Source organism: Homo sapiens, chromosome 6, assembly GCF_000001405.40.
Source record: "Homo sapiens chromosome 6, GRCh38.p14 Primary Assembly".
Taxonomy (NCBI): domain Eukaryota; kingdom Metazoa; phylum Chordata; class Mammalia; order Primates; family Hominidae; genus Homo; species Homo sapiens.
In genome coordinates this window covers 76,445,859-76,468,569 of record NC_000006.12, presented here as the reverse complement: position 1 = coordinate 76,468,569, position 22,711 = coordinate 76,445,859, and the positions used below count along the sequence as shown (strand labels likewise).

General features: G+C 36.9%; 1 pseudogene, besides 1 other annotated feature; it reads left to right on the top strand.

The window, feature by feature from the left end:
* Positions 16,423-16,923: an enhancer, noted in NCBI's record as "H3K4me1 hESC enhancer chr6:77161364-77161864 (GRCh37/hg19 assembly coordinates)". NCBI's record gives its function as "activates a minimal SCP1, AML or CMV promoter by ChIP-STARR-seq in naive H9 embryonic stem cells {active_cell/tissue: H9 hESC(naive)}" and the evidence as "EXISTENCE:reporter gene assay evidence [ECO:0000049][PMID:30033119]".
* RNU6-261P (RNA, U6 small nuclear 261, pseudogene) lies at positions 21,481-21,582 on the top strand (annotated as a pseudogene).

Here is a 22,711-nt window from a genome sequence, read left to right as displayed (position 1 = left end):
TAGAGTCATGCTACAGGCACCCTTCCAGGGAGATACACTTCTTGCCACCCCCAAGAATATTATTATGAGAGTATATAAATCAACAGACAGCAACAGCTCAGCAAACCTAGAGGTAACCAAGGACATTCTACAATTACTGAGACTCACCTCATCTCACTTTAATAAAGCCCACAGGAAAAAGAACTTATTTCTCTCTAAATAAAGTATAAATCCTACATGAGCATTTTTGTTTAGCTAATTGGGTCAGCTGACTCACTCTCAGCCATGTTCCAGAGGGCTGTATTGAAACTCTCCTCCCTAAAACCCATGGAGAGGAGGCAGAGCATTTCCCCAGTGGGGTGGGTGTTGCTATCTCCAGTAGTAGAGAAAAAGAATGGTGGTCAGACAAAAACCAGGCAATGTCTTCTACAAGTGACAAGTGAGATATCAGCAGCACTGGAAGTAAATAGAAATAAACAAGATCTGAGTCACTTCTATGCACTTGCACATTTTAGATATTTAACATTGATAATATAGATATATAACTATATTAAATTTATAGTGGATATTAAAATGCAAAGATAAGCAGAATAAAATGCGTACTGTGCCTACTTAAGATTTCAGGAAAAAAAAAAGTATCATTTAGAATGCTACTCAACATGAAGAATCCAGCCTTTCTCAACCCCAAGTGAGGCAGAAGTTTCAAAGGGACTCACTGGACAATTATTGCAGAAGGTAAATATTGGATCCATTTTATTATAAATAGGAATTGCCCTTGAAGATTCTGAGTGTGACGAGTCATAGTTTTATGACAGAAGTGTTGATCAGTTTGTACATGGAATGAATAGAGCACTCAGGCCATATAGAAGATAGCCAGAACCAAAGGTAAATTATGCTCTTAGGCAGTTTTGTATCACATTTACTTCCTAAGTGTTATTCACCTTCTTTGGCAGAGGTTTTAAAATTATTTTGTAATAACATGCTCTATTCAGTTTATTTTCCCAGATGAAATCTTACTCAGAAGCTCAACATGTAAATAAAACAAAAGGAGAGATATTTCAGTTGAGTGTGGTAGAGAAGAAGGCACTGTGCCACTAATCTGGCCCCAGCTTTCTCCTGCCATCAGCCCCAAGGCTCGTGTGTGAAGTGGGGCTTCAAGGAAAGCTGCTGAAAATCCATCATTCTAGTGGACAAAGTCAGTCTCAGAACAAATGAAAGAGCAGGGCTTATAACTGTTAAAACTGTTGCTCTGCCTTATACCAACTTCTAGTCTGAAAATACGATTTTTGGAGTAACTTTTAAAAGTGGACAATTTAACTAGCCAAAATTGGCCTCAAACACCAAACATGCCATTACAAAACAAGAAGAGCAAATCTTTATGGGAAGGTACAGAAAAAGACATAGAATATCTGGAAAAGAAAATTTCTGCATTAACAATGGATATGACTATGGAAGAGATGAATGAGCCAGAATTAGGAACTAAATCTAACCCTTCAAGAGAAACACAGCTATCCCAGTGATATATCCATGTTAGAAGGCATAGAGAAACTTTGAAATCTCTGCAGAAAGAATGCCAGCTAACAGTTTGTGGAGGTTAAAGAACTGGATAACAAATTTCCCATTTGGAAAGTTTCTTTTGAATCAATTTATTACAGAAAAAGATTTCAAATAGCTTTCTGGGAGAAAAATAAAATAAGTTGTTAAATTTAAATAGTTGGTACAAATTTATCATAATGCAATCTCTTTCAGAATAACTACAAAGATCTTATTTACAATCCCCAAAATACAAGCAGCAATTGCTATTCTTACATTGATGTCATTGGAGAATTAAAATATATAGAAGAGTAGCTTTCTTAGTCATGTGGCAATTTCTACAAGCCATAGGTAGACCTGGTATTGTTGCAGTCTTTCTATTCCTTAGCTCAGCTAAATCCGAGATCTTTTCTCACAACCAGGAAGAATTAAGCATGCGGACACTGGAGAGTGAGTGTAGTAGAACCTATTAAGCAAAAGGAAAGCTCTCAGCAAAGAGGGGATTTGGGGGGTGATTCCCCTACCAGAAAGCAGGAAAGTCCCCCATGTGGCTGGGTCTGGGGCCTCATATGACTCAGAATAGGGAGTGCATGCTGACTGGCCTGTGCATATGCAAAAAAGGTTAAAGCAAAGACACGAGTCAAAGGTGGACATACAGTGTAGGAAACAAATTAGGAAAGGATAGGTATATGTAAAATAGGTGAAGGGTGGGGAACTATGGAGGAAGGTGCACCAAACAGAAAGACATGTTCTGAATCCATTCCGAGGATTTAACTTGTAGCTTGGCTTTCAGGCATTAAACAGTCTTCAGCTTGGAGGTGGGGTTTCACTGGGGACCCACCCTATGCCTAGGCATCTGAATGCCTCCTGCCACTCTCAGTATCTTGAAGAGGGCTATGAAAAAGCCATTTTAATGGTATCTACTTTGGAATTTGTAAAGACAGTAAATTTATTACTCTCAGAACCCTCATAACAACTTGAAGGTGTCATCTATTCTATCTATTCCTTTTAAAGCCAAATTATACTTATATCATCCCATGAAATAGTCATCTGTTCTAATGAAAATAATTTGAGATAATCAAGGAATCTATGAAAAGGACTTGGATGTTTTCATTCATTCACCTGGCAAACAGACACCAGGCAATGCTGCCATCTATACTGGGCATTAGGCCTACACAGTGAATAAAATATAATCTCCATGGAGAATGTACACTCTAGTGTATAAAACAGTTAAAGAGATCATCTCAGCATACTATATGTATTCTGAAAAGCAGTTAAGACATTATGTTTGAAAATACAGTTGGCATTTAATGACTCTAAAAGAAAATATTCAAGGAAGGGTTTACCATCTAAACTGAGACTGGGCACACATGTTCACCATGTGAAGAGTGACTGGAGGATGTTCCAGTGAGAACAGACAAAACATGTAAAAACCTAAAGACAAAAGAGGAAGTGGCATATTGGAGGGTCAGGGACAGTTCAGAGTGGAGTAAAGAGTAAGGGGAGATGCATTAAGATACAAGGCTGGTGAGATGAGCTCAACCTACATAATCAAAGGCATTGAATATTGTGTGAGAAATCTGGGGTATTATCATGCACACAATGAGAAAAAAATAAGGCTTCTAAATAGAAAATGTGGTTACTCAGATCTGAGTATAAGAAACATTATTCTAACTTGAAATGTAGGATGGCTTGAAGGTGAGTAGTGAGGACAGAGAAAACTATCCTAATCCGTTTGTTCTTTGTGAGGCAGAACAAATAACGATTTCACAGCAGACAAGATATGAAGTATGACAGGAGAAACCCAGGATGCCTTCTTGATTTTTGTCCTTAGCAGTGGGTGTCCTTAGATGGAGAATGTAGGAGGAGTTGGGCTAGATACAAGAGGATGAATTGAGGTTTTTGTTTGTTTGTTGTTGTTGTGGTTTTGAGATGGGGTCTTGCTGTACTGCCTAGGCTATGTCCAACTCCTTGGCTCAAGGGTTCCTCCAACCTCAGCCTGCTGAGTACCTGGGATTACAAGCACATGCCACTGTGTCTGGTTCTGAATTAAGTTTTTAACATGTTGAATTTAGGGTTCCTGGGATTCATCCAGGAGACAATTTTTATTCTTATTATCTTGACTTGTTGAATGCTGCTGTACTATATGAAGTGAGGTAAGAGGAAGAAAAGATTACATAATGAAGGTAAACAGTGATGAAAAAGGAGGGCAGTTGAAAAACAAAATACTGAACCAGAAATGTAAAAAATGACACTTCTCAATGAAATATAATTGTATAGTAAGTCCTGCTATTAGTTTTCTCAATTTACAAGATTAAAAACCACAAGCAGCACTTGAATTAACGGCTTGTACAGCTTCATTGTGGGCGTGAACACATGTATGCATACATAGAAGTCAGTGAAGACATGAGTTCACCAAGGACTTTTAGGAGAAGATTTCACACAGAATATCAGAAAGTAATATCAGGCTGTTTACCAACTATAAGACTGGTTATCTTGAACTGATTGACCCAGTGTCTGTGTTAAGATCTTACAGTGTACACCCAAAGCAACTTTTAAACACATTTCATATTGCATATTATGAGGCTTCTTCTGGAGTTTTTAAGCAAAACAAGGTACAGGTTTCTTAAAACCATGATTATTGTGAACAAAATTGGTTTTGGTCTATTTTTTTTCTTAACCAATTCACAGAATGCAAACATTATTAATCTTGAGTTTAATTAACCCCCTCTTTCATGTAATATATAGTAAGAAATTGTTATCAACTGTGACAATGTAAAAGTTAAAATATACATAACAGAAACTGGAAGAGAGAAATGCTGAGAGGAGGAGCAAGAGGTAACTAATATCTACATCTTATGAACTATAGAATTTAAAAATTACTGTTTATAATTAGCAGAAAAAATAGCAAAGGTTAAGAATATTATTTAATGTTTCAAATATAAGGATTCAGGAACAAAATGATATTATAACTATATGAAAAGGAAGGAAGATGGGGTAGCTATAAGTAGGCTAAATCCTCATCTGCCTTGGTAAGAACCTAATACAAAATATCTAAAAATTGACAAGAAATTCCTCCCTACACATCATTCACAGATATGCAGGTAATCTTTAGGAGAAAGATCTAGGAATGGAGGTTGATGAGGCAATGGGCCATTGTTTTTGTTTAAGCCCTATGCTTTGTCAATTGTAGGTGAATATTACTTTGATAAACATCTAAAAATGTAATATACATACATATATATTATGTATGTTATGTTACCTGGAAGATTTAAAATAGCTCCCAGTTTGGCATAACATTTGACCACAGTCATAACAATGGCATTAATATGTGTGAACAAAGACTGTTTCAATCAGGAAGAACATACATGACAAATATGGCAATGTGCATCTAAACAAGTCAAGGGAAAAGCAGCCTTGGCCAATAGATATGAGGAAGGAAGATCAAAATATGTTGTCTGAGGAACTGCTTAAGATCACATACACTCTATGTTCACATTTCACACTTACCAGGCAACTTTTTGTTCATAATCAGACTTGCCATTCAAGCTAGCCTATAGGAGAGAAACCTTGTCATGTTAACACAAGTAATCTGATCTGTGTAAAGTTTTATTTTCCTATAAATTAATAATTTAGTTTTTGAGATTATACTTCAGTGTCTGGAGAGAGCCTTGTTATTGTAAGTAAGTTATCATAGAACTCTTAGAAAGTGGCTATCTTCTGGGAATTCCTGGCTTTACAACTTGTCTTTCTACCTTCAACAGTTTAAAACTAGGCCTTCTTTTCTTTTTTTTTTTTAGATCAACACACATTCTTTGCTTCCTTCCAACTTCCTTGTTGTCTACAATGTTGTGAGTCATTCATTTTTAATAGTCCATATAGAATTGGTACTCTAAGAAACAGGGAATAGTTCTTAGGTTACAACTTCAGTGACTTTGGAGTTGCTCTTAACTTTTAATAAAAAACTAAATAGGAAAATACAACAGACACAAAATCAAATGTGACATATCTGAGTTTAAAGAAAGGTCCCTCTAGGCAAATCTGTCACTCAGAAGTTTCTGTAATCCGAGGGAGATTTCCTATGAAACTAATGAAGCTTCTCTCTAGGGCACCTCACTAGATGAGGCCCTTGCAATGCCCTAGGAGGCTCCCTTGCAACGTGTTCATGTAATCACTAGTTTTTCTAAAACTTTCAAACATAAGATATTTTAATGGTAATTGGTTGGACTGCTGTCTCTTTCTTTTCTGACTTCATCCCCATTACAAATCCCCTGAGGTCCAATAGAAATGGATTAGCCATGGATGTTTTAGAATCTGGCTAAGAGAAAGTTAAGTTGGAGATATATTATCTTGTTTCTAATCTACTTAAGTTTCACAGTTTTTATATGTATACTTAAGTTGTTGTTGACTCATCAGGCATCACTGAAATTAATGTATATTTCCAGAGATTATAATTTGATATGAACATGCCCTCTGATTTTCAGCACAGAATATTCATGGATAATGGAGGAGAAATAGATTTGAAATATATGGAGCAACAATCTAGTCTATGGAAAATTCTTCTAATTATCAGACATGTAAAATTATAAGAAAATGATTCAGTTCTCATTGACACCAATCAAAATGAAAGTTCTATTCCTTCAAGAATATTCTGAATAATATTGCATAATTATAAAAACAACATGTTTTTCAGACATTCTTCAGAATAGTATTAGAATACCTGCATTTGTAGGGCACAAACCAAGAGCAGTACTACAAATAGTAAGTATATCTTGTATAATCACATATTGAATGTGTCCCAGCTATTAACAGTAAAAAAAAAAAAAAAAAAAAAAAAAAAATTTCAATCAGCTAGGCTAGAAGACAATTATCTTTGTGTTTTGGGACATCAGGGACCCCAAACAGAGAGACCGGCTGAAGCCATGGTAGAAGAACGTGGATTGTGAAGATTTCATGGACATTTATTAATTCCCCAAATTATTGCTTTTATAATTTCTTATGCCTGTCTTTACTGCAATCTCTAAACATAAATTGTGAAGATTTCATGGACACTTATCACTTCCCCAATCAATACCCTTGTGATTTCCTATGCCTGTCTTTACTTTAATCTCTTAATCCTATCAGCTGAGGAGGATGTATGTCGCCTCAGGACCCTGTAATAATTGCATTAACTGCACAAATTGTACAGCACGTGTGTTTGAGCAACATGAAATCTGGGCACCTTGAAAAAAGAACAGGATAGTACCAATTGTTCAGGGAATAAGAGAGATAACCTTAAACTCTGACCACCAGTGAGCCGGGTGGAACAGAGCCATATTTCTCTTCCTTCAAAAGCAAATGGGAGAAATATCGCTGAATTCTTTTTCTCAGCAAGGAACATCCCTGGGAAAGAGAATATGCACCTGGGGGCATAGGCCTATAAACGGGACCGCTAGGTGTGGCCGTCTCCTATGGTCTGTAGACTGCATGGGTGAAATAGACCCCAGTCTCCCATAGCGCTCCCAGGCTTATTAGGAAGAGGAAATTCCCGCCTAATAAATTTTTGGTCAGACGGGTTGCTCTCAAAACCCTGTCTCCTGATAAGATGTTATCAATGACAATGGTGCCTGAAACTTCATTAGCAATTCTAATTTCGCCCTGGTCCTGTGGTCCTGTGATCTCGCCTTGCCTCCACTTGCCTTGTGATATTAAGGACTTGATGTCTGTGACCCACACCTATTCACACACTCCCTCCCCTTTTGAAAATCCCTAATAAAAACTTGCTGGTTTTTGTGGCTTGTGGGCCATCACGGAACCTACTGACATGTGATGTCTCCCCCGGATGCCCAGCTTTAAAATTTCTCTCTTTTGTGCTCTTTCCCTTTATTTCTCAAGCCGGCCGATGCTTAGGGAAAATAGAAAAGAACCTACGTGACTATTGGGGTAGCATCCCCAATATCTTTCTATAGTTTTCATAGAGGATATTAAAAATATTTGTTTCACAATGAGGATATCAAAGGGCATGCAACTAAATACATACGAAAGAGTATTATAGAACTTTGTGAGGCCATTAATTAATAAAATGTTACCAACCTTCAAAAAGGTCATTGACCCTAATGGGCCCTTTCCCTGCTCAGTGTTGTTCACACCAATAAAATAAGACCAGGTTCAGTAAAGCAGAACAGAAACTTTATTCATTGATTGAGGAAAGGAGAAGGTGAGCTTATACTCAAAGCACTCTCTCTCTGTGGGGTAAGGTAAAGGGAGATTTTAAGGGCTTTTAAGGCAGGTGGGTGGAGACAGGGGGCAGGATTCAGGGAAAGAGGTGGGACTTTCCAGAGAGAGTCGAAGTGTAGCAGTTTAGTTGTTTCCTTTGTGCCCAACACTACATGTGCCTAGCAAAGTGCATCCCTTCCCACTGCATGGGGATTTAGTCTGGTAACAAGGCAAGCATTCAGGTTAGGGTAGCACTACAGAGCTCATTTCTCACCTTGTGGCTAGTTTGTTGTTGCCAGTATCTGGCCTTCATTTCTATAAGCAAGCAGACAGGTGTGCACAGGTTAATTTTACAGGTTTAGGGGCTTTTTGAAAGAATTGAAGTCATGCTGCAGTGACAAATGTAGCAAGTTCTATTTTGGGATTTTTAAATATTTATAGAATATGTAAGCTTTATAAAATTTTAAGTTATGCTTTCTTTACCCTAAAGAAATGTTTATATTTGTATATAACTTTGAATTTTAAATTCTGGATTCCTCTTATTAAAGAGGGCCCTCAACAACTGTATAACCTTTAGCCCAGAAAACCTGGGAATCTACACCTGCATGTACAATAAAACTTAGAGTAATCTCTGGAAATGCAAAGTTAAAGATAAAGGGTACTCTGTGCACACGGTGTTATCAGTCTTACATTATATGTCCACCAAGAAGGCTTTTATAAAAATCCAGGTAACAGAAAATGTAGACATATTCAATTTAAGTGTATTGACAAATGATACCAAGAACTTGAATCATACCTAATTTTCTCTAACTTCCTCTTCCAAGTTGCTTTTTTTAAAGAGAGTTTGTTTATTAAAGGAAGTATGAAAAAATCTGTTTGGATGTCCTCTAAAATTTCGGACACTTTTACAAGGTAAAAAGTACATTAAGTCATGTGACTCATTTGAATGTTGTCAGTGGCATAATAACAAAAGTCATCTTATTTGGGGTTAAGTGAGGTAGCTGTGCTAAATGACTCTCAAAATCATAAAAAATGGATGGAACCATCAAAGTAGAAATGAATAATTAAACTTGTGCTCCAATCTGCACCTATGGATATCAGGAAAACACAAAGAGCTATTAATGTTTATTCTTTCTAGATAGAAACCCAAATTGTAAAATTATATAACAAAATTTAATAACAAATATTGCAATCAAGACTAATACTATAACAGCATTTGGCATGCGTCTGTGTAGGAGTTAAACAAATAAAATGCTAAGAGAAAGAGCATACAGACTCCTACCGGTACTAAAAAAGAAGTGAGAAAAAAAGTTGTTCAGTCATGTAGAGCAAAGCAGGAAGTGATGATGAGAAGGAGGCCTGAGGGAGTGAAAGAAGGAAGGCAGGCAGCATCACTGAGTACTTGTATGTTTGCCATCACATTAAATATTTTATATCCCTTACAATTATTTTATAGTCACAAACCCTGGATGGTAGTTATTATTATCACTATTTTAGAGAATAAACACTTGAAAGAGTGAATTTAAACAATTTGTCCAAGAACACATGTGTAAGAGATGAAGCCTGAATTCAAACCACATCTGTCTGACTCCAAAGCCCACACACACTCTTTCTACACTCAAGGCCCAGATCGGTCAAGAATGGCATTGGAGGTGTGAGTACGGGGTTGGTTCACAGATCCTGGAACAATAATAGTAATAATGTTGGATAATGCAGCAAACATATACAGCATTTACTATGTGCAAGGCAGAATTCTAAGCACTTTACATTTATTACCTCATTTAATCCTTCTAGTTGATCTCATAGAAGTAAAGAATAGAATGGTAGTTACCAGAGGCTGGGGTAGTTTGGGTTGGGAGAGGGAGGGGAGATGTTACAATTAGGAATAATAAGTTTAAGAGATCTGTTGCATAGCATGGTGACTATGGTTAATGATACATTGTGTTCTTGAAAAATGCTAAGAGAGTGGATGTTAAGTGTTCTCATCAAAAACAAAACTATGTGAGATTATTCATTTGTTAATTAGCTAGATTTAACCATTCCACAATGTATATATATATTTCAAAACATCATGTTGTACATAATAAATACATACAATTTTATATGTCATTTCAAAAAATAATTTTTTTAAAAAAAAGATGGTTCATGGGAAGTGTCTGGGACAAGTTAAGTACTGAATAAATATTAACTATTAAAAAATCCTTCTAACAACTGTGTATGGAAAGTATTCTTATTTCCCTTTAACTAAAAACAGCATTTGTAGCAAGAAAAGACAAATTTCCCAGTGCAAGGGGTTTAATATATTCTTTTCTGTAGCATTGTAGAAGCAATACCTGATTATAATATAAGTACAAACAGTTCGAAGTGTTTAAAGAGTAATTTTTCTCCTCACCCATTGTAATCCCCCTCTGAAGCAGTTAAACACACAGGCACACATAAATATATGCACACATTTCAGTATAGCTCATAGGCATCTTTCTTTTAAGTATTTAAGTTGGTTTCATGATGCATGATACTACTTTATAAGTAGTAGTCCATCATATGGTTGTACTACAATTTATTTGAGCAGAATTAAAAGTACTTAAATCTATGTAAGTTTTGCATATCTATAAAATAAATTACACCTACTTCAGTGGAAACATAACAAATTCCATTACCCCTTTGTCACTCAGCAGATGCTCAGGGTTTCACTACAGCAATAGATTTCTTAATTAATCTCTAAGTAATTGACTCATCAGTTTAGGCAATGCCCATTTCTTCAGTAAAATACAGTAAATAATGACCATGTCACACTAAATACTCAAAGCTGCCAAGCTACTTTCTATTGGGTCTCTTCTGTTTCCACCAGTTTCCAAAAGTCTGTTACATTTTCACCAAAATATATGACAGTTTTACATGGTATTGTAATTATAGCACAAATTAAAGAAATATACGTGCTAAATATAGCTGTTTCTACGAAAACTAAATTGAATTCTTTGGAAAACTTAATAAAGGTAAGTTACTAAGATAAAAGTGCTATGAAATTAGATACAGAAGAAAACCTTAAAAGTTGTAGGAAAATCGACAAGATTCTAAAGGAATTATGCACTCAGATTGCTTTGCAGCTGTCTTCAAAACATTTATTTTAGTACTATAAAGACATTTAAATATATACAAAAAAAAATTGCACTTGACAGGACCAAAGTTGAGCTCTTCACTAGTCACATTATAGGAAAGAGCTAAAGAGGCACAGGGATATTTGTTTATTCTACAAGAAATGCTCAAAAGGTAAAACTTATTTTAGAAGAAAAAGGGGAAAGCATAGCATTAGTTAATCTCACTCTGCCTCCTTACCTCTCCTGCTAAAACATATGAAAAGAAATAAGTTTTTAGGGTACATTATGCCTTCACTACATGTATCCTGAATGGAAGAAAGAAAGAAACCATAGATTTTAAAGTTCAGTTGGAAAAAAAGAAGAAACTTTTTTTAAAGTAAAAATAAATAAATGTTCAATGCATGCACGTAACTATACATAAAAAGAAAATATCTATAATGCAACTTACGTAAAGTTTCTTTAAAAGGGTAAAGCAATATGGAGGTATAGTGTATGTAGATAATAAATTATTTTTTAGAATTAAAGTACTAGAAAGTTTTAATATCTTTTATTAAAAAAGTTATATGAATTATAGAAAATACAGGTCTTCTAGGAAAAATTAAGAAATATTACTTTTAAAATTTCCCTTGTAAGTTTTATAAATTTTGAAAAAAACTTAAACATGGCTATCCATTTGCCTTAAATCATATCCTACCAATTAACATAAATAATAAAATAAATAGCAATTCTGACTTTTTCTAGAAAGTAATATATCAATAATTGCTATTTTAAGCATTAAAAACATTTACAAATTTTATAATAATAAGCACTCTATAATTTGCTTATTAGGAAGCATAACATTCTACTATTCTTTTATTGTTTGATACCAGAACTCATCATACATATACAGGCAGTTAATATAAACATTAGTTACCGTATTTCATTGACTGGGATATTTTTCACATTTGAATATTTGTGAAATGTTGAAGTATCTTATACCACTAACAAAAATATTCGTTAGTTTTTTTCTTCTTTCTTTTGTTAAATAAATGTTTGGAAAAATTGAGATGGCACATATTGTAAATGACACCATAGTTCCAAAGAAATCCAGCATTAAAATGATCACTAAAGGATTCACTTACCAAAAAAAGAAAAAAAGTTCCTTTAGGAGGGTAAGATTGCAATTTAAAAATTTTTAACAGATAATAATCAAATAAAGGTCAATAAATTTGAATTTTTCTGAAAAGCTACCCTGAAGTCTATCAGAACCCTAAGAAGTTCTTGCAATTGCTAATACAAAAATAAAGCTATTATTTACACAGTTCTGCAACAGTGTTTTCACTATTCATTTACTTCAGTGTTAATGCCCACAAATTTTTTAAAGTTAAATCCAAAAATCACAAAATAATAGAGTAGAAATCACAAAATAATGGAGTTTAAATGCAGTCTGAAAATTTAAGATTAGACTGGACTCTCTGTCAGCTCATCTCAATTTAATACCATTCTGGTTGTACCATTTTCCACTTCTCTACAGCATTTCAAGTGAAAATCTTTCAAAGAATATACTCAGTCAACATTCTGAAACAGTTGTAGTATTTTAGTTAATAACAATATATAGTTTTCCATTATCAAAGAAAGACTTTGCTTCTAAGTTTCATCATTAAAACTACAAGATTTAATAGAAACATGCTTGATCTCAGCAGGATGAACCATATCTATCATTCTCACAACATGAAGTACTTGAACATTGACTCACACATTTCATCAGAGACCCTGAAAAGTTATATATTTTTATTAGAGATAGAGATCTTTAAAGTGTACATAAGAGTTTTCAGTGAATTGTCACAGATTAAATACATGCATTTATCACCAACCTCTCTGAAAATACCACTACAGTTACAAAGAGTTAATAAGATATTAATCTAGGAAGACAATGAGAAAGTAAATCTCAGTAAACAAAAATTTTTAGAAGGAAAAGGTCATATCAGTAACTATGCAGAGCAGAGAAAGATGTTACTTAGGAGCTTAGGGGTATAAAAGCCAAGAAATTTAGAAATGCACATCTCAGAACCTTGTAAAATCTCAAGAATTAGAAATACAAGGAATGCAATAATTGGAACTACAAAAAAGGAAGAAATACTGCGGTTTCAAAACAGAATGATTGAAGGAAGAGCTTTATAGGGTGCAGCTGGGCTTCTGGATCACTTAAATAGCCAAGCAATTCTTCCCCACTCTGAGAAGCCTGGTGATTCACTCTATAATGAGGCAGAACACAATGTCTCGAGTCAAGACACTAGGCAGAGCTAAGCAAAAGATAACTAGAATCAAAACCAGGGAAACTCAAAAAATATGACACATGAAGAGTTAAGACCCACTGGGGCTTCCAGAACCTTGATTTGTATCTCCAGGCATGAGACTGAAGATATCCTCTTAGGAGAAACTGACTAGACTGAAGATATCCTCTTAGGAAAAACTGACTAGGATAAAGGATCAATTGATATTGGCCATTGTGGATCCTCTAATGAGACGGTCAATCTTTGACTTACCAGTGAAACCCTGCAGTCAACAAACCTTGCTCTTACCACAGAGTTTGCACTCAGAATCTTAGTGTTTCACTCTAGAATATGAAAAGACTGCTAAGAATCACCTGGTAGTTGAGAAAAGCCTGCAATATTCAATGTAGACACAGAAACAAACAAGTAGCCAGAGGCAACAAAGACTATGTGGGATCAAAAGAAAACTGCAAATACACTGTAACATAATATTATGTATATATTTAATATATATAATTTACACATATAAGTTTATATATGCATATATAAGCATACACAGATAACTATATATTACATCCATTAACTAGTATATTTCAAATATACTGTAATTAAGATATGCTATATCTATTTTAAAGGAATGTTATTTTTTAAAAGCTCTCAACAAATCTGAAATATTAAAAATATTACAGAAATAATTTTAATCCATTAAAGTTGTTAAAAACCTCTCAAAAGCATTTTTGAAACAAAAGATAAAAATAAAACAGAAGAGATCAGAAAATGGATGGCAGTCTGTGGTGTTTGACATCCAATTCAAAAGAATTCTGATCTGAGAAAAGAGAACTGGCAGGGTAAATATTCTCAAATAAATAACACAAACAATTTTTCTAGACCTGAAGTACATGACCATCCAAATTAAAAGAGACCACTGAATGCCAAGCAAAGTGGATGAATACTGCCTTTATGAAGGAACCCATTGAAAATTTGATAACACTAGAGAAAATTAGAAGTTTTTCAAAGCAATGAGGAAAAAATGTAAATACAAAGACTGGAAATCCAAAATCATCAGACTTCTTAATGGCAACTTTGGAAACTTGAATAAAGTCTTCCATATTCTAGATTCAGTATTCTATACCCAGGCAGATTATCAATTACGTTTGAGGGAAAGACAAAGATATTTTCATGAATGTAAGCTCTCAAAATTTTACTCAAATATATCATCTTCTAATAAATAGCTGAATGATAAGTCCCACTAAAAGTAGAGAGTAAACCAAGAAAATAGAAAAATGGAGAATACAGTAGGAAGGTAAAGGTAAGGAGAAACAACGAGATTTCAAATCAGAAAGCTAGAGGTTTAGTGAGTATTGCTTAGAAACCATTAATTTCACACACACACACACACACACACACACACACACACACGCAATATTGAAAGCTGATGTGCATCCAGGGCAAAGAAGATTGTAGATTTGGTAAGAGAATGTTTGAGACAGTAAGTCCCAAAAAGCTTGAGACTGCAGCAGCTCACAGTTGACTGGAACAGCTACCAAAGTTGTTCCACATTATTCACATAAAAATATAATCTGATCCCATTTAAACATGAGTAATGTTCAAAGTACAACTAACATGAACCTAAGAATAGATAAAGCGGAAAAAAGTATATGAACAAGCTAAATAATAAAATTTCTCCATGTTTTTCCAATCTCAAATTACAACAAACTGATTGTACCACAAAGGGATAAGGTTCAAGGAAGGGATACAGAGTTTCAAGGATGATGGCAGTGGCAGCCCATCTGGAGTGGCCACTGCAAAGACACTGGCTACAGCAGGGAAGGTGTGGCTGGGGCTGTGTGTTTTGCGGAGCTGGCAGGAGATAGGAACAGGTGATTCCGGCGGGAACCCCGCACCCCGTCAAGTTGGCGGGGCAGGAGCCTGTGCTACTGGGCACAGCTGCAGCCACCCAGCCACAGCTCTGGACACAGGCATTCCCGCACTCCCTGGGGCCCGGGAAGCCTGCCTGCTCCTGCTTCCTAGCATCTCCCTGCTCTAGGCGCCTGCTCCACTGCAGAGCAAAGTTGTGGTCAAACCTAGGCACTGTCACGACCTGGCGAGGTGTGCACACGCTCAGGGTGGCTCTGACATGCCAGCCACCTGCCGCCTTGGCCTGTTTTGGACTTGGGGCACCAAGGTACATGGGAGGGAAACTCTTGAGTGCTGAGGGCAGCTGGACACGGGCCTGTGGGCGTCCCTCAGTGCGGACAGCCTGGGTGCTGTAGACAGTATGTTGATGGCGGTCGGAAGAAGACAGGTTCCTGGGCAGAAAGAGGTGAGTCCCCAGTGAAACCTCAACTTCAAGCCAGGGTGGTCTGAACCTTGGGGGCCAGGCTGCCAGTTCGCAGTGGAGTCTGCAACCTGGAGTGAGAACTTCCTTGATGCCTTTTGGCTAATTAAATAGGGTTTTTTCCACACTCACCCATGGCCACCCATGGACTAATCAGCACACACTTCCTCCTGCCCATGTGCCAACCAGCATGCATTTCCTCCATTCAGAGCCCATAAAGCCCCATCCCCACCCCCACCCCACTCCACCACCCACTGAGCCAGACTCAGTCGGACATCTGTGGGGTCTACCTGTCTGCGGATAGGAACTACCCAACTGAGGTATCCTCTACATTCATTGGTACTACCTGTCTGCAGATAAGAGCTGCCCACTTCGGGTCTCCTCTTTGCTGAGCACTCTTCTGTCTCCCAGTAAAGCTCCCAGTAAAGCCCAGCAGCTCCCAGTAAAGCTTGTTCACCCTCCAGTTGTCTGTGTAACTTCCTTCTTCCTGGATGCAGGACAAGAACTCAGGACCCACCAAAGGGCAGAGCGAAAGGAGCTGTAACACTTCCCTGGCTTGCTTGCCAAGCTATGGGCAGGAGCTAAAGGGGCTGTGACACTACAGCCCTCCTGCCCTCTGCCAGCGCAGGGCAGGCGCTCCACATGACCGGAAGCAGTGGCGGGAGCTAGGCCAGCCCTGGAGCCGCGGGCTGGAGTGGGATGACCAAACTGAAAGAGATGTAACACAAATGGGGTGAAACACATCCCCCCAAAACATACCTCCCCCACTCACTGCACTGCAGGTGATGAGAAGCAGAGAAGAGCTGCAGCCCTTCTGGGAGCCCAGACCTCACGGCTCCCCACGCCAGGGCTGTGACATGCTTTAACACCCTCTTTGTGGCTCTGAGGTTCCTGATGTCTCCTAGTTTCCAGGTGCTACTGCGTTCCCCTCGTCCAGACACTGGTGCCCACAGCAGAAGCTGCTTGTGATCTGGCCTAGCCTGTAACACAGTTGGCACCTGTGATGGTGCCCGGGGCTGCCTGCCTCGCTGCAGCAGCTGGCGTGCCTGGCTGTGCGCAATGGCCAGACCCCGCGCTCACTCACTCACACACCCCTCGCCACTCCACACCTGGCTTACCCTTCGCAGGCATAAGATCCAGGCTGGTAGCACAAGCCAAGCACAGCCTGCCGGGCTGAGTGGGCAGAATGAGTCCAGCAGGCATGAGTAAAACTCAAGTAGAGGCACCACTGGCCACAGAGGTTTCTGGCTGGTGAGGCAACACCCAAAGGATCCTCTGACAATTGCATGAAGACAGAAGATGAAACATAAGCTAGCAGAACTCAGTAAAGAAGGACAAGGGCAATGCAGAAAATCATCAAGAAGAACACTAGGTAGTAATCAAAATAAAATAACATGACTAAAATCCAAGAAAAGGCATAATAGGTTGGTAAATGAAATGAAATGTGTAATAACAGAGTTTTAGGGTAGAATAGACAGCCTTTATCTAGAAAATGATAGCAAAGAAGATCCAAAATATGCTTATTTGTTATTCCTGAAAAAGAGAACTCATCAACATTCAAAAGTATTTTATAATATAACCTCCCTGAAATATTAGCACATCATGTCCTAAGAAATACTGACAAACATAATCAATCCCAAGTTATATCCTGATGAATTTATGGAACTTTCATGATAAGGAAAACAATTACGTGGAACTTAAGGTAGGGTAAGCACACTCCAAGCAAAAGGAAATAATCAGACTGTATCAAACTTCTCTACAACAACACTACAGGCAGGTAGAGAGTGAAGCACAGTCTCCAAAATTTTGAGGAAAATATGGTAGGACTAAAGGATTCTGTCTGGCCAAGTCACTCTTCAACTATTAGAAAAATAAAATCAGACATTCTCAAGTAGACAGGATTACAGCATCAGTGAGCTTTGTTCATAAAACTACTAGCCAATGAAATCTAGCCAAGAAAGAATGAAGTGAAATAAACTAGGAAAGACAAAGCTACTCAGACATGAGCTTAAAAATTAATTTACATTTTGAGACAAAGCTAAACCCATGTGGTTATTATGCACACATTAGAAAATAAAATCGAAATAATAATAATACTATTTTGAGTTCAATATTTCAAAGTTATCCTCAAAATCAAGTGCAGCCTACATGTCAATCTGGATAAAACTATCAAACTCTCTGACCTTTTTTTTTTTGCTTTTTTGGTTTTTTTTTTTTGAGACGGAGTCTCGCTCTGTCACCCAGGCTGGAGTGCAGTGGCGCGATCTCGGCTCACTGCAAGCTCCACCTCCTGGGTTCACGCCATTCTCCTGCCTCAGCCTCCCAAGTAGCTGGGACTACAGGCGCCTGCCACCACTCCTGGCTAATTTTTTGTATTTTTAGTAGAGATGGGGTTTCACCATGTTAGCCAGGATGGTCTCAATCTCCTGACCTTGTGATCTGCCTACCTCGGCCTCCCAAAGTGCTGGGATTACAGGCATGAGCCACCGTGCCTGGCTCTCTGAGCTTTTTTAACTGAGATGTTATTTAATGCTGTTCCATGGCATTTATGTTTCTATCCAGTGGAAAATGTGGTAGATAATTATTTGGATGTCTAGTAGACCATGATCTCCTATTCTAAATTCTGCCCTCTTGAGTTCCTATGGTTATACAGTTCTCTCTGTCCTACATGGCCCTATCTCACAGACAGAGCTGATTGAATATGAATGCATAATAAACCCAACTAGACCAATCAAATCCTCTGCCCTGTTGCCTGGAATTGAGACACTGATCCTGTGGCTGAAGATATGTACTATCGGAACTTGAATTGTGGCCAAATAGAATTCTAGTTCATAGAAATAAATCAGTAAAATAGATATAAGGAGGTAAGAGACTGTCTTAGTAGAAACTAAAAAGTGTGGCTGTTTAGATTCCTGTTTTATGTCCTTCCTAAAGCCTAATATACTTTCTGCTTTAGGCTTCCATGAGATACTAGAGTACATTTATAATAATTTCTCCTCTTTTACTTAAGCTCTTAAGTGGGTTTCAGTTATTTGCAGTCAAAATAGCCTTAAAGGCAACAGAAATTAGTATAAGAAATGACATTATATTTAACAATTCCAAATAAAACCATTAAACTGGATAAATTAAAGTGAGTTCTGGGTTGGGGGACAATGATGATTCCTCTATCAAGGAATAGAAATATAGCAATTTGGTTTGGCAATAACAAAATAGTTCAGCTATCATTGTTATCTTTGGCTATTCGGTCTGTATTTTCATAAAAAGTGAAGCTTTAAAGGATGTGATCGCCCACTTAAAGGTATCAGAGTATCTTTAAGATTTAAGAGAAGAAATTACATAGACCAAGAGGAAATCAGGGATAGCAGTTTAAGACTACTGTCTTTCCAATCAATAAATTATTTGTCCTGCCAAAATGGCAACAACAAAATTATTTGAATAATCATATATCTCCAAATTAGGCTGATGTCCTTATTGAATACTAATATTGATAATGGGATATGTGCAACTAACTAAGGTAATGGAAAGAAATCATTATCCATGTGCTCCTTCGTGAGCTAGAGAATGGCCTTCTATCGCGTGCCATACCTAGCTCCAACTTAACACATTTGCAAATATCTTCAAAACATAATCTGGATTTTATGATTTAGTCTTAATACACACGAGCAGATTAAGGAATTGTGCTCTGCTGGTCATTGTTTTTCTTCTGGGCCTTAAGACTAAAGCCATTAAGTAGATAAAAATGGAGACAGGATTCCAGGATAAGACGTGGATAAAAATAATAAACCAAGTTCTGACAGTTCAGCCAAGCAAATCCATTAAGCACCGTGATGCAACAAGTTATCTGGCTTGGTTTACTGCAAATACAGTCTCTAAAACCAAACAATATAAACAAAGATTTTTAAAAAGACCAATAATATTTTAAAAGAAAACTCTCTATATCTCAGCACTTTGGGAGGCCAAGGTGGGCGGACCACGAGGTAAGGAGATGGAGACCATCCTGGCTAACACGGTGAAACCCCATCTCCACTAAAAATACTAAAAAGTAGCAGGGCGTGGTGGCGGGCGCCTGTAGTCCCAGCTACTCGGGAGGCTGAGGTAGGAGAATAGCGTGAACCCGGGAGGCGGAGCTTGCAGTGAGCCGAGATCGCGCCACTGCACTCCAACCTGGGCGACAGAGTGAGACTCCGTCCCAGAAAAACAACAACAACAAAAAAAGAAAACTCTGAATCTGAACAACAGAACATAAATGACTCAAACCAATATGGGAAACTCAGCTGAAGTAAGGCTTTGTTTTAAGTCAGGACTACAAAAGATGCTGGCAGAGCCAGACTGGATTTCTATGCATTATGAACAGCCTCGTTATGAGAATCCGCCCCAATACTCCCTTCAGGGTATCTCTGAAGGACATCAGATATAGAAATTATACCAGTAGGCAGAACCTGGGCCAGCTAGAATTCTTAACTGCTCATTCTACAGGATAGAAAATGAATCAACAGACTCAAAAGTCTATGACATTAACTAGTCAGCCCCTCTCCCTCAGATTACAACATGCCTGCCCTTAGATCCCAAATCTATCTCAGAAGAAGAATATTTCGGTATCACCAATATGATGAGACACAGTGAAAAGGCATATTAAATAAACTATACTGTTTATTCAATTCTATTTTATCCCTGTTAACATTTTAAATTGTTATGAAAATAAATTCTGAAAATAAAGAAACATTATGATTGCCATTTCGTGGAGAAGCAGATCAATATCCTCTCAGGTTGGCCCTTCACTAATCATTTTAGCCACTCCATAGCTTTGACCTTCTCATAGCAGCCACAGACCACAGGAGGTTCAAAACACAAAAGGCCAGAGGCAGCAAAAGCATAGAGTAATGAGAGTAGAGCAACAGTCAGAGCTTTGGTACCTCACAGAGAGCAAAGCTGTTCTCAGGGTATAAGTAATCAAGAGCAAGCATTTTACAGGGTATTTTAGAGAGAAGTAAAAGCTTTTTGGTAAGGCAGTTATAAAAACTCAAATTCAAATGAATGCTGAGCAAAGGCACAGGCAAAGACTAGAATTCTTGTGCAAATTACAGTTGCAAGAAAACATCTGGAGCCGACTGACAGAGGACTAAAATACTGTGGAATAAAAATGGGAAGAATGCAGAAGACAGTCAGTCAGTGGAAACTGGGAGAAGAAACATGGAAATTAAACATGTAAAAAAACTGCTCCCATGTCTATACTGTCTGATAATTTTTATTAATTTTATTATAAGAAAACGGAAGTATCAGTACGTGCTGCTGAGAATCCATAATTATAAAACAAAAACTAAACAATTTTAGTCTAGTATTGCTATATGTATTTTTTGTTACATAGAAGACATTTTTATTGTCTTATGCTAACTTTAACAACCCCTCCATATATTCATCAAAGTTCTGATCCTTAGAAAACACAAAATAGGTGAGCAAATAAATTTGGTTTTTAACAAGGCTTGTTATCTGGGTGGCCAACAAATAATTTGAAAACATAGAATTTTCATTAGAAATGGATATTTGTTTGTATAAATGTTCCCAATACCAATATTCTGGACTTTCTTGTCAATTCAGTAAGATGAAGGAAGGCTAAGCAGAGATATTGAAACATAAATATTGAAAAGAAGAGACAATGATATTTGTAGAAAATGCTGCTGAAGAACTGACTCATGAAATATTTCAGGGGTGCAATTGGCAATATGGCAAAAAGAATACTTAAAATATGCAATCTCTTTGAGGCAATAATTCTAGTTCAAGAAATTTACTTGAAGAAAATAATCAGAGATGTGAGAAGATGTGTGTGTGTGAAGAATGTTTACAATAACTTTACATCTCTGGTTAAAAAAAATAGAGTGCTCACTTTAGCAGCACATATACAGATAATCTTTGATTTATGGTGGTTTATCTTGTGGTTTTTCAACTTTACAATAACTTAAAAGTGATAAACATTTGGTAGACACCATACTTATTTCACCATCCCTAAAGTAGTCAGCCATTGCTTTCAGTCATCTGCGTATTTCAACATAATACTTTCTACTTACGATGGGTTTATTGGAAAGTAACTCTATTGTAAGCCAAGGAGCATTTGTACTAAAATTGGAATGATAGAATATTAACATGGTCCCTGCACAAAGATGACATGAAAATTTGTGAATCTTTCCATATTTTTCAACCCAAAGAGTTCATCAAGACAAGTAATAATCAAATTATTAAAAATAAAAGACAATTTTGAGAGCAGCAAGAGATAAGAAGTGCATTTCATACAATGGCATTTTAATACCACTATCAGTGGACTTCTCAGTAGAGCCCTTGCAAGGCAAGAAAGAGTGGGATGAAATATTCAAAACCTGTCAGCAAACCTGTCAACCAAGAATACGTGGCAAAGCATTCTTTTGGAAATGAGGGAGACAATGGTAGCATCTTACAAAATAAGATGTTTACAAGATGTGCACAATAGCAAAACCAGGATTTTGACATTTATACAGTAAAGATACAGAAAATTTCCATCACCAGAAAGATCCCTTGTGTTGTCCACGTTCCCATCTACTCCTCTCCCCTCTTCCATTCCCTACCCCTGGCCACTACTAACCTGTTGTTTATGTTTATAATTATGTCATTTTAAGAACATTATATGAGAAGAATCATATAATGTCTAATCTTTAGGGATTGGCTTTTTTCACTCAGCATAACTCCCTGAAGATTCATACAATTTTCTGCATGTATCAATAGTTCATTTCTTGTATTGCTGAGGTAGTCCATGTTATGGATGTATCAGTTTGTTTAACCACATGCCCATTGAAGGATGGCTGAATATTTTTCAGGTTTTCTGGTTCTGATGAATAAAGTTGCTACAAACATTAAAAAAAGAAAAAAGAAATGAGGAAAAAATAAAAACATTCTCAGGTAAACAAAAGTTAAGGGAGTTTATCACCATTAGGCCTGCCTTACAGGAATTGCTAAAGGAAGTTCTTTAAACTGAAACAAAAAGCTTCTAATAAATAACATAAAAGTTATAAATGCACAAACCCAGTGGTCTAAGTAATACAGAGCAATAATCAGAATGCTCTAGGACTATAATGTTAGTATATAAAATAATTTTATTCTTAGTACAGGGGTAAAGGACAAAAACATTAATAACTACTGTTGAAATAAATTGTTGAGGAATACATACTATAAAAAAAGATGTAATTCAGACATTAAAAATGAAAATTATGTGTGTGGGGGAAGTAAAAGTGTAGATTTGTTGTATGCAAAATTTGCTCACTCTTAGCTTGAAATAAACTGTTATAAGTAGAAGA